Source organism: Homo sapiens, chromosome 2 (assembly GCF_000001405.40).
Source record: "Homo sapiens chromosome 2, GRCh38.p14 Primary Assembly".
Classification (NCBI taxonomy): Eukaryota; Metazoa; Chordata; class Mammalia; order Primates; family Hominidae; genus Homo; species Homo sapiens.
The window spans coordinates 81,643,239-81,662,186 of record NC_000002.12 but is presented as its reverse complement, the minus strand read 5'-3'; the positions used below and the strand labels follow the sequence as shown (position 1 = coordinate 81,662,186).

The 18,948-nt window shown below is 39.6% G+C and overlaps 1 long non-coding RNA gene across 14 annotated transcripts in view, besides 1 other annotated feature; it reads right to left on the bottom strand.

The window, feature by feature from the left end:
* The window catches only part of LOC102724542 (uncharacterized), a 368,996-nt gene that overhangs the window by 188,547 nt on the left and 161,501 nt on the right, over window positions 1-18,948 (bottom strand). The gene's annotated exons all lie outside the window — the stretch shown is intronic.
* Window positions 3,204-4,403: an enhancer, noted in NCBI's record as "P300/CBP strongly-dependent group 1 enhancer chr2:81884908-81886107 (GRCh37/hg19 assembly coordinates)". NCBI's record gives its function as "activates an origin of replication core promoter dependent on BRD2, BRD4, P300/CBP, MED14 and CDK7 cofactors, with strong dependence on P300/CBP, by STARR-seq in HCT116 cells {active_cell/tissue: HCT116}" and the evidence as "EXISTENCE:reporter gene assay evidence [ECO:0000049][PMID:35650434]".

Genomic DNA, 18,948 nt, shown 5'->3' with positions numbered 1-18,948 from the left:
AGCATTCATGTGAAAAGTACTCTGGTGCAAAAAAAAAAATGTTGCATTACCCTTAAAAATCAAACAATTTGGCAAGTATTACTCCACTGACAAAACTCAAGTTATGTTTCCCCAAAAAAGGCACAAAGAGGTTGTATCTTTAGACATGTGAATTTAAGTGTTTGGCAACAACATTATGGAAAAGGCACACAGTTACTAAGGGATATATGATTAAAGAGTGTGAAAACAATAAGACCTGTGAGAGAAGGCCAACAGAGTCTGGATGGGAAAAAAAAAATGAAGAATTTGTCTATGTATAGCAAAAGAGAAAACTTTCTGAAAACTAACTGACATGGGACAATTGCATGCTAATTGCCTACCAATTACAAACAGTAAAATGATGTCAATGAGCTCCCTAAATTGCTGTTATTTTCTGTTTTCATTAAGGTTTTAAAATTATCCTTTTATTCCATTCACAGTTCTTTGCTGGCTACAGAATTTTATTACCCTCTTCATCCCCAAACACACACACATTTTTTTTTTTTGAAATTATAGTTCAAATTCAAAAGCTTAGTTAGGAAAGAACTTGAAGAACTCTGACAACTTCTTTTAAATAGAAAATTTTCTCACTGAGCAATTTAGTCCATTCAAGATCAACCACAGCAAAGCTTTCCCTTAATGATCAATATTGTTCTCCACTAAGGCCCTGACCTCATTAGAGTAATTAGTCCTGCTTGATTGGAAACTGTCTTCCAAACAATTGTTTGAATTTTAATTATTTGCCATCTAAAGGTATAACATCTCTGCCAGTAAATGTCACTACTTATATAGATAGTGGGTGAGACTCAAGCTAAACCTAAAAATTTTTAAACAAAATCAGAGGCAGTTAATTTCCTTACAAATGAAGAATTCCAGATCATCCTACTTGCCGTTTGCTTCTATCACTATCACCATTTCTTCCCACTCCCTGGTTTCATACTGAGACTCTCTCCTGCCTCAAGTTTAGCCAGGCTCCTGTGAGCTCTCTTTTCTACCAGGCCCCGCATTATGGGCTTCCTTGTTTCTTTCTTGTTGTTTTTTGTTTGAAGGCAAGAATCTCGCTTAGTCAGTTTAGGGAGAAGGGAATCCCCCATTCTGGATATCTCATCCCCCTCGATATCTAATCAAATTCCTCAGCTCCCACCCTTAATATCTAATCACTCTGGACTGTCTTCAGCCAGAATCCCCCCTTACTTCCATTGTTGCTCTTGGTGATTGTTCATCTGCTGACCTCCACTCTGATAGCTGGCTGTAAATCCTTGTTTGTTCTGACAGTATTTAGAATTGAGCCCAGTCCTATACTGAAGACTCTTCTAGCATATTGCAATAGTCCATCAATAAAATCTGTTTGTACTGTCTAACTAAAATACTTCTCTGAATTTCTTTAACAATCTACTGCATGCTTGTTTTTTCCCCTGGTCAGTAAAATTAAACAGCCCCAAGCATGTACTACCCATGTATAATCTTCCCCTCTACTTCCAAATTCAATTTAAAAGTCTCTATTCTTAAAGATAGTAAAGGGGGCCCAGAATAAGCCACTGTGGCATAAAAATTATTTGAGCTGAAGGCATTTGAGTTTCTGAAAATTCCTATCTGCCTAAAAATGAATCTTCCAAAAGAAAGTAACTGTCATAAATCTCTTCCCATGGAGCAACTATAATCTTCTCGAGATAAGAATTCATTCAGCACCACTCTCAAAGAGACACTGTCACAAAACTATCATATCCCTCATCTATTCTCCTAAGGTCCCATTTACTTTTACAAAATGTCATTTGTTATTCCATTCCTTTCTTCTCTCTTCCAAGTCATGTGTTTTTCCAGCAGTGCCCCTTGGCCCTTTCCATCCCTTATTAAGATATGAGCCCCCAATTCTAATCACTTTGAACCACATTTCTTCATGAACTTCCATAGAAACATAATCACATCTTTTTTTTTCTCTTGTGAATCTGTCTTTTGTAATTTTAATGCTTAATGTCTACACTTACTAAATTTAAAAGGGTAAAGAGAAAGCTTTTTCTCCCCTAAATAGTATTTCAGGGCCAAACACTCCCCATAACATCCCCACATAGCCACAGCTAGGATCCCATCATATGATAGATAGATAGATAGATAGATAGATAGATAGATAGATAGATCTTATTTTATTATATTTATGTTACTGGGAAGTGTGGGGCCCTCAGTTCTTAGTCTTCTTAGAAGAATTTGGCCAAGAGACCAATTAGTAAAGTAAGCAAAAGGTTTATTAAGGAAATAAGAGTATGCTCCAAGAGAGGAGCAGGCTAACCTGGCTGGGAACTATAAGAAGAGTTCTGCACTGTGGTTTTTATAATGTCAGGCTGCTTATTTAAGTTCCCACCTCTGCTGTAAGTCTCTGCTTTGTCTTTGTCTAGTTTCTCTGTCTTAAGACAGCTTAATGTCAGTTGATGCATGTGCATGGGGCCTGGTGATCAATATGAATTCTACCCAATGGCAGCACTGCTCATGACCACCACCCCTGGAAGGTCATATAGCAGTTACATCTGCATACCTCTTAGGAATTTCCACTTTGCCATTCTTCCTTTCTTGTTAATATGTAGCTACATTCAGACAGGTTAACTGCAGAATGAGTGATTTTGGGGCATCTTTCAGGGCATTTCAGAGCATTCCCTTCTGCATAGGTATCTCCCCCTCCCTCTGCTCATATTTAGCATGCATGTTTTAGGTAGTCCCTCTGATGTGAGATTTTTTCAGAGCTTTCTCCACCAGGGCATCCCTTTCCTGCTCATGTCTAACTATCTGCTTACTCTAATGTTGATAATGTACAAACTGTGTTTTTCTTCTTCAAATAAACTCTGAGTTTAAACATAAAAATTGTGTAATATTTATCATTAAAACTCCTTTATTTCTTATAAAGTATATGAAACAAAGCATGCTTAATATGTGTTGAATGAAATACACAAATAAATGTATTTATTGTCTCATAAAGGGACTGTCAGCACAGTCAAAACACTGCCCTATCTTCTAAGTTCCCTGATTTTAACACTGAGATTTGATAACTGTCAGTATATGATCAACACAATATGGTATCTAAAACTTGCAACAATCCCAAAATCCTCTTAAGGATTTGTAGATTTTGTAGATTAAAGATACATGTGAACTATGTTATTTCATTGTATTATTTAGAGGATGGAACTATGAATTAACACATTTAATAAAATCATCTTTGACCAGCTGCTGTGCTTTTTAACATAATAATCCAAATCTTGTTTTCTTCGTTACACCTAAGATAAACTGTTTTTTTTTTGTCTACTTACAACCACCTTTTCAAAAATTATAACAGTGAGAAAATTATTACAGTGAAAGGGATCTGATCTTACCAACTCCATCTTGCTTCTGACCAGTAGGATGTCCTTGTTCTAACTTCTAGGATGTCCTTGTTCATTCTTGGGCATATGCCAAACTAACTTTGAGAGAAACTTATAGTTTAACTTTGAAACAAAGATAATGTTAAATATGAATTCGAAATTTCTCTTCAAAGAATATGTCAGTATGTTCAATTCTTTGCCTTCAACTTTTAAACTTAATTTCCTCATAAAACAACATTTTCCAATTACCTGCTTCATCCTGACTCATTCTCCACCTTGACTCATTCCTGTTACCTACTCCACCCTGACTCATTCCGATTACCTACTGCACCCTGACTCATTCTCCACCTTGACTCATTCCAATTACCTACTCCACCCTGACTCAGTCGCTGCCCTGACTCATTTCATAACCATTTTTCCTGCCAAACCACTCACTCTCTTTAAATTAGTCAGTCGGAATTAGTTTAGCCTGTGCGGTCTAATCCTAGCCAATAGGGGAATGACACAGCTGTAAGGACCATGTGCATCAGGAATAAGAATCTCTTTCCCTCCCTTGTCCAGGTGTGCACTCACCATTGCTCCATCTGTAAGGCCACACCCTTCTATAGACGTACCTTGCCTTGCTGAGAATTCAAAAGAAAATTTTATATTTGAGTGCTATTTCTTTAGCGGCACCGAAACTTTATAGAAAACAATTTGGGGGCTCGCCCATGATTACATTCCCCTCAGGGGATGGTCTCTGTTTCTCTCTTGTGAGGAGGCATGTCCTGTCCTTTGTGGCAGCCTCAGGGGGGAAAAATCAAAACCCATCCAGTGCAAGGAATAACCCGAGCTCTCAGCAATGCAAAAAAATATAAATAAATAACAAAAACAAAAACAAAAAAAACTGGCTAGCAACCTAGCTTAAAGGATCCTCACATACTGCAGAGACAACTCTGTGCACAGACCAAGGAAGGAGAAGCTGTGGGAGCTGGTAAAGTATTTCCTTGGTGGTTGGGACCAAGGTAAGAAAGTCACGGGGGCTTTGGGTGGGGGGCGGTGGTGAAGTACTCCTTGGTCGGCATGGCTTAGAGGTTAAAAAGAGGTGAGACATCCCCACTGTTGGGGGATTGAACCTCACATGAACCTGTAGTAGTAGAAAAGGCAAGAAATTTCCGCTGGGGGAAATTGAGCCTCACCCCAAAAGGTGAGAAATTTCCAGTAAGGGAAATTGAACCTTCAACTTTACCCCAAAACCATCAAGATGGGAAATACCCCAAGCAAGACAGGAAGCAAGGGGGATAAAGATGGTAACAAAGATATCTCCCCCAGATAGCCCCTGAGGTCTCATGTTAAAACACTGGAAAGATAATGAAAGGACTAAACATAGGAAAAAGCAACAAATGATAAAATATTGCTGTTTTATTTGGACTCAGGGACCCATCCTCAAATCCTCAATCTTCTGGCCACAGTTTGGGTTGAATGAGGATGTAATGTGTCAGCTTCTGATCCGATATGTCAATGATATATATCCAGTGTGTCAAGAAGAACTAGGCTATGCCCTTTGTTGGAGGCAAGGACCTGCCCTCCTTTTTCCCTTAAAAACAAATAGGGAAAAACCCAATCTGGCACCTCAAAATGAAAAGTCAGAGGAGCCAGCTGTCATGCCTAAAGACTCCAGTGCATGGGATCCCCTAGACTATCTTCCCCCACTCAGTGTCCCCAATCTTTCCCCTCAGACAGCCACTGCCGCCTCAGATCCCATTCCAAATTCCCCCTCTACTCACGTTATCCCTCCTCCTTATAACCCTGACTCTTGGGAATTACAGTCCCATCAGTCTGTTCCCTCCAACCTAAAGACCCCTGTCTAAAAGGACTCCAGTGTGAGGCAGAATAATATAAAAAAAGTATGCAGAATTTCCCATTTCCCTCTGTACCTAAGAGGTCAGCCCCAACCCTCTTCCCTTTGAAAGAGGTGCCACAAGGAGAGGGGGTGGCATTGGCTTTGTAAATGCTCCTTAACCAGTTCAGAAGTCCAGAATTTTAAAAAGGAGCTTAAACTGCTACTAGATGACCCTTATGGAGTGGCAGACCAAATTGACCAATTCTTAGGATCTCAATTATACAGTTGGGTCGAGTTAATGTCCATCTTGGGCATCCTCTTCTCAGGGGAAGAAAGGAGTACGACTCATAGGGCTGCTATGGTAGTTTGGGAATGTGAGCACCCTCCTGGTGAAAATGTTCCTGACACAGACCAGAAATACCCCCCCACTTGAGATCCTCGGTGTGACAATAACAACACAGGTCACCGGGAAAATATGCAGGACCTAAGGGAGATAATAATAAAAGGAATTCGGGAATCAGTACCCCAAACCCAAACTCTTTCTAAAGCATTTGATATACAACAGGAAAAAGAGGAAGGGCCTATGAGATTCCTAGACAGGCTGAGGGAACAAATGAGGCAACAAGCAGGCCTCAATTTGGATGATCCCCTCGGGCAAGGAATGTTGAAACTCCAATTTGTCGCTAAAAGTTGGCCAGATGTTTCAAAAAAGTTACAAAAGATAGACAAATTTGGAAGATCATCCCCTAAGTGAGCTTCTCAGGGAAGCTCAGGAAGTATACATGAAAAGGGATGAAGAAAAACAGAAACAAAAGACAAAACTTATGTTTTCCACCTTCCAACAGTTGGTTCCAAACCCACGTACTTCTAGACAGAGCTTCCAGGGAGCCAGAAACTACAAAGGGTCCGAACCCTCTTTTAAAGGACCCCAGCCTCCATCTGGAGGACCAAGGTACTGATCTACCAGGCCCCCTAAAGAGTATAGGAGAGCAGGGGTAAAGAATCTCAGAACTCAGAAGGAGGAAGAACAAGATAGGTGCTTTAGATGTGGAAGAACAGGCCACTTCAAGTGAGGATGTCCTGAACTAAAAAAGGAGAAAGAAGCCCCTCCACTCATGACTTTCAAGGAAGAATAGGGGGGTCAGGGGCTCTGTCTCTTTTATCTTGAGTCCCACCAGGAGCCCTTGATAAATTTGGAGGTGGGACCTAAACATGAGCTTATCACCATTTTAGTCGATTCAGGGGCTGCTCGCTCCTCTGTTTGTTTTTCCCCGTCTAACCTTATCTCCTCCTCAGAGGAATTTTTAGGCTCCAGGGTAAAAGGGGAAGGATTTAGAGCAAAAATTTTAGAAAGCACAGAAGTTAGATACCAGGATCACTCAGCTTGTATTCAGTTCTTGTTAATCCCTGAAGCAGGAACTAATTTACTGGGGAGGGATTTAATGTTAAAGTTGGACATAGGTCTGCAAGTCAGCCCAAGAGGATTCCTCACCTCATTAAACCTAGTCACACTACAGATGAAAAATACATTAATCCTAATGTCTTGTCCAAAGAAGGAAACTGAGGGAAGCTCCAAGTCCCTCCTTTCCACATCAAGCTAAACACCCCGGAAGAAGTAGTAAGAAGAAAGCAATACCCTATTCCCCTAGAAGGTAGGATAGGGTTAAAACCTATAATCAAAGGCCTTTTTAAGGACAGGCTTCTCAAGCCCTGTATACCCCCTTATAACACCCCAATACTGCCAGTCAAGAAATCAGACAGGTCATACCAGCTAGTACAGGACCTTAGAGTGATCAACCAAATAGTCCAGACTACCAACCCCATTGTCCCCAATCCTTACACCATTCTTAGCAAGATTCCATATAATCATCAATGGTTCACTGCAATAGATTTGAAGGATGTTTTTTGGGCATGTCTGCTGGCTGAAGATAGCCAAGATATATTTCCTTTTGAGTGGGAGGATCCCTCCTCAGGGTGGAAACAAGAATATCGATGGACAGTCTTGCCCCAAGGGATCACAGGCTCCCCTAATATTTTTGGCCAAATTTTAGAACAGCACTAGAAAAAGTTGTCATCCCAGAAAAAATATGCCTTCTTCAGTACGTGGACAACATTCTTATCTCTGGTAAAGATATAGAGAAGGTAACTGACTTCTCTACACATATTCTTAACCATCTGCAGTTTGAGGGGCTATGAGTCTCAGAAAGAAAGCTTCAGTATGTAGAGCCTAAAGTTAAATATTTAGGCCACTTAATAAGTGCAGGCAAGTGAAGAATAGGGCCTGAACAAATTGAGGGAATCCTGTCCCTACCCTTGCCTCAAACTAAACAAGACCTCAGGAAATTTTTAGGGTTAGTTGGATACTGCCGCTTACGGATTGACTCATATGCACTGCACAGTAAACTGTTATATCAAAAACTTGCCCAGGAAAGGCCTAACCATCTCCTGTGGTCTTCTGAGGAAGTTGATCAGGTTGAGAAGCTGAAGGAAAGGCTCATAACGGCTCCCGTTTTAGCCTTACCCTCCCTAGAAAAGCCATTCCACCTTTTTGTTAATGTGGACAGTGGGGTAGCTTTAGGAGTGCTGACTCAAGAACACAGACATCGCCAGCAGCCTGTAGCCTTCCTATCAAAGGTCTTAGACCCAGTCACTTGTGGATGGCCTCAATGCATCCAGTCCATCGCGGCTACGGCAATGCTAGTCGAGGAAAGCGGAAAGTTAATCTTTGGAGGAAAATCAACAGCATGCCTCACCAAGTTAGAACTATCTTAAACCAAAGAGTAGGGAGATGGCTTACTAACTCGAGAATCTTAAAGGATGACCATTTTGTTAGAAAAGGATGATTTAACATTGACCACTGATAATTCACTCAACCCAGCAGGTTTCCTAACAGAGAATCCAAATCTAAGGAGGGAACACACATGTTTAGATTTAATTGATTACCATACGAAGGTTCAACCAGACTTAGGAGAAACTCCCTTCTGGACTGGACAGCACTTATTCATAGATGGTTCTTCCCGGGTGACTAAGGGAAAAAGACACAATGGGTATTCAGTGACTGATGGAGAAACTCTTGTAGAAAGAGAGTCAGGAAAAATGCTCAACAGTTGGTCTGCTCAAATGTGTGAGCTATTTGCACTCAGGCAAGCATTAAAGTACTTACAGAACCAGGAAGGAACCATCTATACAGATTCAAGGTATGCCTTTGTGGTGGCCCATACGTTTGGGAAAATTTGGACTGAATGAGATCTCATTAATAGTAAAGGTCAAGACCTTGTTCACAAGGAGCTGATCACCCAAGTATTGAATAATCTTCAGTTGCAGGAAGAAATAGCCATTGTCCATGTTCCTGGACACCAGAAAAGTCTCTCTTTTGAAAGTCGAGGAAATAACCTAGCAGATCAGGTAGCCAAGCAGGCTGCTATGTCTTCTGAAATGCACATTTTTTACTTAACTCCCTACCTCCCTCCTCCTACCATAATCCCCATTTCTTTTCCACCGAAAAAAGAGAAACTAATAAAAATAGGTACTAAAGAGAATTCAGAAGGAAAGTGGATACTGCCAGACCAGAGAGAAATGTCTAAACCCCTATGAGGGAAGTCTTATCCCAACTACATCAGGGGACCCACTGGGGACCCCAGGCCATGTGTGATGCAGTTCTCAGAGTTTATGATTGTATAGGAATTTATACCCTGGACAAACAGGTTATAGATAGTTGCTTACTATGTAAGAAAACTAATAGACATACTATAAAAATATTACCTCTCACGGGAAGGAATCTGGGCTTAAGGCCATTCCAAAATATCCAAGTTGATTACACAGAAATGCCTCCAATAGGCCATCTAAAATATTTACTAGTGATAGTAGACCACCTCACTCACTGGGTTGAAGCTACCCCCTTTTCAAATGCAACAGCCAATAATCTAGTTAAAGCCCTAATTGAAAATATAGTACCCAGGTTTGGACTAATAGAAAATATTGACTCAGACAATGGAACTCATTTCACCACACACATTATTAAAAAGCTATCCCAAACATTAGACATTAGATGGTAATACCATACTCCCTGGTACCTATCTTCAACGGGGAGAGTAGAAAGAATGAATCAGACTCTAAAGAATCATTTAACCAGATTAGTCTTAGAAACTCAATTGCCATGGACCAAATGTCTTCCTATCACCCTGCTGAGAATTCTAACTGCACCACGGAAAGACATTCATCTTTCTCCTTATGAGATGCTCTATGGATTACCTTATTTGCACTCCACTGCTGATACTCTTACCTTTGAAACAAAAGATCAATTCCTTAAAAATTATATACTTGATATATCTTCTACTTTCTTTTCTTTTAAAACTAAAGGTCTATTAGCACAGGCACCACCCTTGGAGTTCCCAGTACATCAACATCAGGCTGGGGATCACGTCCTCATCAACAGCTGGAAAGAGGAGAAGCTAGAGCCAGCCTGGGAAGGTCCTTACGTAGTGCTCCTAACTACTGAAACCACAGTCTGCTCAGCAGAGAGAGGATGGACTCACCACACTCAAGTCAAGAAAGCACCACCCCCTCCAGAGTCGTGGGCCATAGGCCCAGGAGAAAACCCTACCAAACTAAAGCTAAGAAGAATTTAACTCTCTTTCATCTATTACTCTTTCTTCTTTCCTGGCTCTATTGCTGACCATCTAATTATTAACATAACCAAGTCAATTTCACTTCAAACTATTGCATTTGATGCTTGCCTTGTTATACCCTGTGGGGATTGGTTAAGTCAAAGACAGCTCTCTACTTCAGAACAGTACCTCTGTCCCTCCTGGCTCTCCTCAGACTGGGCATTAGTGAATTGGGACCATTTAATCTGGGGAGATTTCAATAAAGACCCCAGTGGCAACCAAGAGTCTTGACCCCACCCCCGATGTAGAGCTTTTATGCCATAGTTGGTCCAACCTTCTGTGGACCACCAAAGAGCAAAGATGGATTGCTCCAACTGGCTTTTGTAATTTCCTAAAACCATACATTAACTGTCAGCTAAACCAGGTGCAATCCTAAACAGGTTATTATTTTGAGCCCCCAAAGTTCTTCTCCTTTTCTAAGCTGGTTTCCTTCTTTAAGCCGGTTTTATGGTATGGGGGCTGAGATTTCAGGAATAGACCCTATTGGATTCTTTGAAATGCATTTCTTTGATCCCCCGCTGCCTGCACCTACCTCTAAGCCTTTTTCCAAAACCTCTCACAGCGGAACCATTGTTCCTCCTCCATCTAATGACAAGGCCGAGATAGCGATGATAGAAGTTAAAGACTTAAAACAATCTTTGGCAATTGAGATGGGATACCAAGCTGTAAATGCCTGGCTGGAATGGATCAAATATTCTGTCTGCACATCAAACAAAAGCAATTGTTATGCTTGTGCACATGGCAAGCCAGAGGCCCAGATTGTCCCCTTTCCACTAGGGTGGTCCTCCAGTTGACCGAGCATGGGCTGCATGGTAGCTCTTTTCCAGGATTCTACAGCCTGGGGTAACAAGTCAGCCAAGCTCTCTCTCTGCTATATCCCAAAGTCTGACACCCTGCGGGTTAGCCCCCCAGGGCCATCCAGCTTCCATCTCCCAACACTAAGTTCACTTCATGTCTCTCATGACTGGGAGGAAACAGCGTTCCTTGGAGACCTGAAAGGACGCAGTAAGCTTAAGAATTTTCAAGAGCTTACCAATCAGTCAGCCCTTGTTCATCCCTGAGCGGATGTGTGGTGGTATTGTGGTGGACCTTTACTGGACACTCTGCCGAATAACTGGAGTGGCACTTATGCTTTAGTCCAATTGGCTATCCCTTTCACCGTGGCATTTCATCAACCACAGGAAGGAAAAATAAGACATCATAAAGCAAGAGAAGCCCCTTATGGGTCCTTCAACTCTCACGTCTATTTAGATGCAATTGGAGTCCCACAGGGAATACCAGATCAATTTAAAGCCTGAAATCAAATAGCTGCAGCATTTGAGTCAATATTTTGGTGGGTGACAATTAATAAAAATATAGATTGGATAAACTACATCTATTACAACCAACGGCAATTTATTAACTACACTAGAAATGTTAAAGGAATAGCTGAACAGCTAGGGGCTGCTACCTAGATGGCTTGGGAAAATAGGATAGCCTTAGACATGGTATTAGCAGATAGAGAAGGAGTTTGCATCATGAATATCAATGTTGCACCTTCATCCCAAACAACACTGCCCCTAGTGGAAGTATAACAAAGGCATTGCAATGTCTGACTGCTTTATCCAATGAGGTAGCCAGTAACTCAGGGGTAAATGACCCCTTTACAGGATGGCTCGAAAAGTGGTTAGGTAAATGGTAAGGAAGAATAGCCTCAATTCTTACTTCCCTCATAGCCATAATAGGTGTACTTATTCTTGTTGGGTGCTGTGTCATACCATGCCTCCGTAGGTTGGTGCAGAGGCTCATAGAAATGGCACTTACTAAAACCTCCCTTAACTATCCTCCACCTTATCCAGAGAAGCTTCTTCTTTTGGAAAATCAAGGACAACACCTAAGTCAAGACATGTTAAATAAGTTTGAAGAGAAAGATGTAAGAAAAATGTAAGAGGAGGAAGTTGTTAAATTCTAAATTACTCTTCAAAGAATACATCAGTATGTTCAATTCTTTGCCTTCTACTTTTAAACTTAACTTTCTTGTAAGGTAACCTTTTCCGATGACCTATTCCATCTTGACTCATTTGCCACCCTGACTCATTTCATAAACATTTTCCCTGCCAAACCACTCACCCCGTCACTCTCTTTAAATTAGTCAATTGGAATTAGTTTAGCCTGTGCAGTCTAACACTAGCCAATAGGGGAATGATACAGCAGTAAGGACCACATGCATCAGGAATAAGAACCCCTTTCCCTCCCTTGTCCACGTGTGTGCTCACCATTGCTCCATCTTTAAGGGGGCACTCTCCTATAGAAGTACCTTGCCTTGCTGAGAATTAAAAAGAAAATTTTATATTCGAGTGCTACTTCTTTTGCGGCACCAAAACTTTATATGTAACAATTATAACTTCCTTTTTTTCAAAATAAACCCCTTTCTTATCTGAGGCCAGATTGCCTTTTTAGGACTAACAAAATAGCCACAAAATTAGAAATTACAGTTTAGGAGTCATGAAGCTAGAGATTCCAAGATTCTAATCCTCCGTCAATTGCTCCTAGGGATAACATCCCTATTATAAAACTTCAGATTGGTGATCAAAATATTTTTCAGCCCCTGCATGTTTTTCAGGGTCTGACATTTTTCACCAACTTATTCTCAAAAACTCCAGTCTCAAAATATTTGGGGAGACCGATTTGAGTAATAATAAAACTCTGCTCTCCTGTTCAGCTGGCTCTGTGTGATTAAAGTTTGTCTATCGCAATTTCCCTGTCTTGATGAATCAGCTATATGTGGGCAGTGGGCAAAATGAACCTGTTGAGAGGTTACATCTTTATGTTTCTTTCACTTGCCTCTACTCTTCCTAGAATGCAAAATTCACTAAGGCAGTAACAGGTATGTCTTCTATAACATCATACTCTAATTACTTAGTAGTGCATATAGAAGCTGTAATACATACAGCTTTAACAAAAAGAGTGAATAAGGAATAATTATTAATACTGATTACAAGGTATCCTGCAAGAAATGTAACTCTCCCAAGACTGTTTTTCTCCATTATTTCTCATGCATCTTCCTACAGTCTTACTGACTTACTGGACCTATGCTTACAACTTGAAGATGTTGGGGCTCAGAAAATGATACCCTAAAAGTATGGCATTTGGCATGCTGAGACTTTGAACTAAAATGGGAAGGCCTCAGAAACTATCATAGAATGAAGAACTTTCTGACCTCTCCTATCTCCCCACACCAGCAAATTTTACTTTGATATTCTCTTATCTGCCTTATGATCAAACCCTCCAAAAAGAAGACAATTGCCTTCTATCCCCTCCCTGAAGTTTTATTATCTATCCCAGGAAAACAGACTAAGGAATGTAACCACACCTAGATGCACATTGTTATAAACTATTTCTGCCTCTAGGACTCATTCAAATTTCAAAGAGAATCATTTACAAGCTAATTTCTGTTTCCCAGGTCTACTTATCTTTCCTAAAGTCATTTTCTACACCTCTAAAAATTGTCACATTTCCCTCATCTCCCCTTCTCCTGCAAAGAAAGATCTCATTGAATAATTGGGTAATCATTTTTCTGCAATTCCCCTCTGTTTATACGAAATAAATTTATACGCATTTTCCTATTAATCTGCTTATTGTCAGTTAATTTTTAGTGAACCTTCAGAGGGTAGAAGGAAAACCTGCACTTCACCCCTATAAAGAATTCTTATGCCACAGAATCTGCCTCATTACGCACTCCTCCCTTTGGAATTCAGGCATAACTGACCAGCATTAACATTAAAACAGAATCTTAGGCCAGGCATGTGGTTGCTTATGCCTGTAATCCCAGAACTTTGGGCGGCCCAGGTGGGTGGATCACTTGAGGTCAGGAGTTTGAGACCAGCCTGGCCAACATGGTGAAACCCCACCTCTACTAAAAATACAAAAACTAGCCAGACGTGGTGGAAGGAGCCTGTAATCCCAGGTACTACATAGGATGAGGCAGTAGAATTGCTTGAAACTGGGAGGCAGAGACTGCCATAAGCCGAGATCACACCACTGCACTCCAGCCTGGGCAACAGAGTGAAACTCCATGTCAGAAAAACAAACAAACAAAAAAACAAAAAGCAAACAAAAAAACCAAACATATCTTAAGACTGACCAAACAGACTCTTTATAGCAACAAGATACATCATATGACAGACAGCAGGCCCTGAAAAAAATCAGAGTGTTTTACCCTGAAATATATATCTTTGATGTATTTTAAAATGCCCTTGCAAAGCTGTCTTACAGTAAAAAAAAGTCTACATTCTGTAGATAATTCTCTTCCCTTTCCATGTATTTTTCTGATCTAGGAGAGATTAACTAAGAGCCTGGAAACTTTTTAAGTCTCACAAGAAACATTAAACATCTTTTCTCTCTGAAGCCTGATTCCTGGCAGCTTCATCTGCATAAGAAGCAGCTTGGTCTCCATAACCCCCCATCTTAACTCAGGCATTCCATTCTATTGGTGCCAGGTCTTTAGATAATAACTTAACTCTGTCAACCAATTGCCAATCATAAAATACTTGAATCCACCTATGATCTGGAAGCTCCCCATTTTGAGTTGTCCCCCCTTTCCAAACCAAACCAATGTATGCCTTACATGTATTGATTGACATCTGCCTGTAACTTCTGTCTCCCTAAAATGTATAAGATCAAGCTGTAAGCCAACCACCTTGGGCACATATTCTCAGGACCTCCTGAGTCTGTGTCATGGACAACCTTGACAAAATAAACCTCTAAATTGATTAAGATCTGTGTCAGATACTGTTTTGTTTGTACTATCTAACACATATTAGGAAAATCATTGTTATTATCTATACATTTTCAGTCATATTGCCTGAATTAGTTTATTTTGCAAGAATGCAGTGGGGTAGGGATTCTTAATTTCAGAGTAGAAAACTGAATTCTACATAGTGTAAATAATTTAAGACCATAAATCCTGTGAATCTTACTACCGGAATTCAAACATTTTAATTATAGTTTGCTTTTAAAGTAGTTTAATGAGTTTCCTCCTTCTTGTAGAACACAAATTTTGATTCTGTAAAAAAAAATAGGAAACTAAAGAGATTTTTTCTTCATCTAGGAATTGAGGAGTTGAAGGAAGAAAAAACCTGCTAGGTTGCAGCTTAAACAAGTTGTTTTACCAGCTGCATTTCCTACCGAGAGTCCAATTCAGCAAAATAAGTGAATTTCGTTTCAAGATAAGAGCTTTCCAGTGTGATTAAACTTGAAAAAACTATTTCAGGAATATAACTATTTTACATGAGTGTATCTTCCAAAGGAAGTATCAGTCAGGCCTGTTGCAGCCTAAGCAGTTCTATCCTCTTAAGAAAATATAAATAATTGATGAAGGAAACAGAGTAAACAAGGCTACAATGAATTAAGTAGCTATTTGGGAGTTGTTCTAGTTTGTTATCCTTGCTAAAGTACAATAAAAGGACACAGTGAGGAATTAGAGTGAAAGCAAGCAGAAGTATTATAAAGAAATTATACAAGAAAATTCCAGGCAGATTAGAAAAGACTCTAAAATATGAGTAGTACAGGAAATGTTCTCGCCATAGGAAATAGATGTGTAACTGGGATGAGGGGCTATTGGTCAACAAGCTTATCATGCCACTCAAAAGTAAGCCAAGACACGGCACCATGAACTAGCCTACAAAAAAATATCAAGTTGAGAAAAAAGACATACTGCAATGAGAATTTTGAAAGACTTAAAGAAAATGAATTTTCTAGTTATGTCCTGATTTAACATCTATGTCTCCAATGGCCCATAAGGAATAAAAAAAAAAAACCTAATTTTACTAAAACCCACAGAAATGACGTGTTAAGAAATACTTTTTAGAAGTGACCTTTATATGTTTTTCTTAAATGTTAAAGTAGTGAGAACCAAGAGTAGGAAAGAATAATACTACCAGTTAGAGATGAGTGTCTTTTTTTAATATATGATTTTTATGTTTAAACATTTGCCTATATATGTCTGTTTAAAGGAGAGTATATTGTTTGTGAGCATATCATATCTTCCCTTGACAACAAGTAATTATCAATCCATCAAATTATTAATATTTTTACTTGTAGAAACTGTTAAAAGACCAATGAGATCTGCAGAGGCCAAAAGAGAACTTTATTTTCTAATAGCAATCTACAGATTAGGTGACACAGTCTTTGGTGCAAAACAAAAGTGTGCTCCATGAGAAGGAATCCAGGAGTAGGAAATTACAAAGGAATAAACCACAGGGGAACAGAGAAAATCCAGGGGAGTCTCAAATCAACAGTTTCTAATTGAATGGTTTCAGGTGGTCAGTCGGTTGACATCACATGGTCTGTTGGTCAGCTGGGGAATTTCCACCTGCAGTCTATCTCAGCACCAACAACAAGAACTGCTTCGGGTTGATTGCATAAAGGGTGGTCTTGTGACACTTTTACAACATCTTTCAGAGAACACTACATCATTCTGCCAGCATACAGGGCATGTGACCACTCTCCCACCCAGATACAGCTGCCTGGTTCTGCTTTTTAACTTTTGAGTCACTGGGGCATAATTTGACATAACTTTCTAAATTATTTCACCTTATGAATGAATTTGTTTCATAAATATTTCTCTTATTAGGTTATGTCAGATTTTCCCCTACAACAAAAATACTTTTGTATAAATCTGCGTAGACATCAATGATTTTGTTAAAAATCTGGTTAAATTTTCAAAATTCTTGGGTTCAAATAATGCCTATTTGGACATGTTACACATCTTGCCTATTGCCCTTCTAGTGTACCTAATCTCTATCCACACTGCATCAATGGCTGGCCTGAACTCTCCTTAAGTTGATACATGCAGGTTACACCATTACTTTGCCCTCATTTGATAGCATCTAAGACAAATAATAAAACCTCAGACCACTGGTCTTGGAATACAAACAAGAACAACCATTTCTACTCTCCTCCCCACCCCTCCAAACTCTGGCTCATGTGTTTAAAGGACCAGCATTCACAGTCTGTGGTCAGTCCCTGAATTATACAATTCTCTTTCAAAGTTTGGGAAGAGAGAATGTTGAGAAAGAAGTTGAGGCCTGAAGAGAGACTGGGATAATTTAGAATTGGAAGCAGAGACAGGTGGTTAAGATCTTCTCCAGTATCTGAAGAGATCCTTAGCCACGGAGTGAATGTCAAGTTAATGCAGAAGTTGTTGGAAAAGTTTCAAAGCCAAGGTTCAGATGGGACATGAGTTAGCTGTGATAGCTTCTGTAGCACTAGTCTTCATGCCAAAAATTTGGTAGAGCGAGATAATCCCTGCCAGTGGATTAAATTATTTTATAGGACTTTCGAGGAACTCTCATGTGTTCACTGTCACCCCCGTTTTTGTGCTCTCCTCTACCTGCATAGGAAATTACGGAATATTAGGCTTTCGGATTCAGTGTTAGTTTCTGGGTACTTTGGAAGTTCCAGAAAAGAGGAAAACAATAAATTTGGGGCAGGTAACCAATGAAACCCACTTTGCACAGCACTCAGAACACTCAATATGTGTGAATATTTTTAGGTATCATATCAAAGCAATATATATAGCATTTTAGAGAAAAAATGAGTAAAATTGTGAGTGTTCTGTGTTAGTGAGTCCCTTACCCACCTCGAGACATGACAATGTCCCAGGTTCCTGCTTGGAAAACATATTCAGATTTAAGAATTCTATCTCAACTCTTGGTTCACCCATGCCTTCTGCCTCTGATGGTGAACACTTTCATGCTAAATACTTCCAATGATGGAAGTATTTAGTGGAAAGAAACCATCCTCCAGGTACAGTGCTATCTGAGCCTCCCTTGAGGAATTGAAATAGGTATACAACCCTCCCCCAAACGTCCCCTGGTGTGGAAGCTAATGGCTAGAAATTCCCATGGGAATTTCTGTGCATTAAAAGGACTGGCTGTGCATTAAAAGATGAGTCAATATATCCTGAGTCACTCCCTCAGGTCCACATGTTATCTGTGGATAGAAATCATATTCCCTATATTTACAACACCCACCACAACACCACTCACAGACAATCAGATGAATAAATGTGAATTGGGTTCCCATTAGAGGGAATTAGCTATTTATGTTAGAAAAAAAGGAGTCTAATCAACTTGGAAAAAAGAGTAAGAAATTAAGTTGTTTGTTTTTTATTGAGAAGATTTCAAGCGCAGTTTAGCAGTTTTACATGTCTAGATTTTCACACTTTGACTTTGCTAATGAAGAGCAAACCTTATGTTATTACATGATTTTACATAATATTCTTTCTTTTTAACTTATATGGCTACATAGTAGGTATATATATTTATGGGGTACAGGAAATGTTTTAATACAGACCTACAATGCATAATAATCCCATAGAGAATGAGGTATCTATATCCTCAAGCATTTATCTTTTGTGTTACCAATTCAATTATACTGTTATTTTCAAATGTACAGTTGAGATATTACTGACTATAGTCACTCTGTTGTACAATCAAGTACTAGGTATTATTCATTCTATTTTTTTTGGTACCAACTAACCATCACCAACTATCCCCAACCCCCTTTCCAGACTCCACTAACCATCCTTATACTCTGTCTCCATGAATTCAACTGTTTTAATTTTTAGAACCCACAAATGAGTGAGAACATACAACGTTTGTCTGTGTTTGGCTTATTTCACTTAACATAATGATCTCCAGTTCCACCCATGTTATTGAAAATTACAGCATATCGTTTTTATGGGTGAATATTACCCAGTTTTCCATATGTGACACATTTTCTTTATCCATTCATCTATGAATGGACACATAGGTTGCTTTCAAATCTTGGTTATTATGAACAGTGCTGCAACAAAACCTGAGAATGCAGATCTTTCTTCAATATATTATTTCCTTTCTTTTGGGTATATACCCAGCAGTGAGGTTGCTGGATCATATGGTAGCTCTATTTTTCGGTTTTTGAGGAAGCTGAAAGCTGTTATCCATAGTGGTTGTACTAATTTACATTCCCACCAACAGTGTATAAGGGTTCCCTTTTCTCCTCATCCTTGTCAGCATTTGTTATTGCCTGTCTTTTGGATAACTGAGGTGAGATGATACCTCATTGTAGTTTT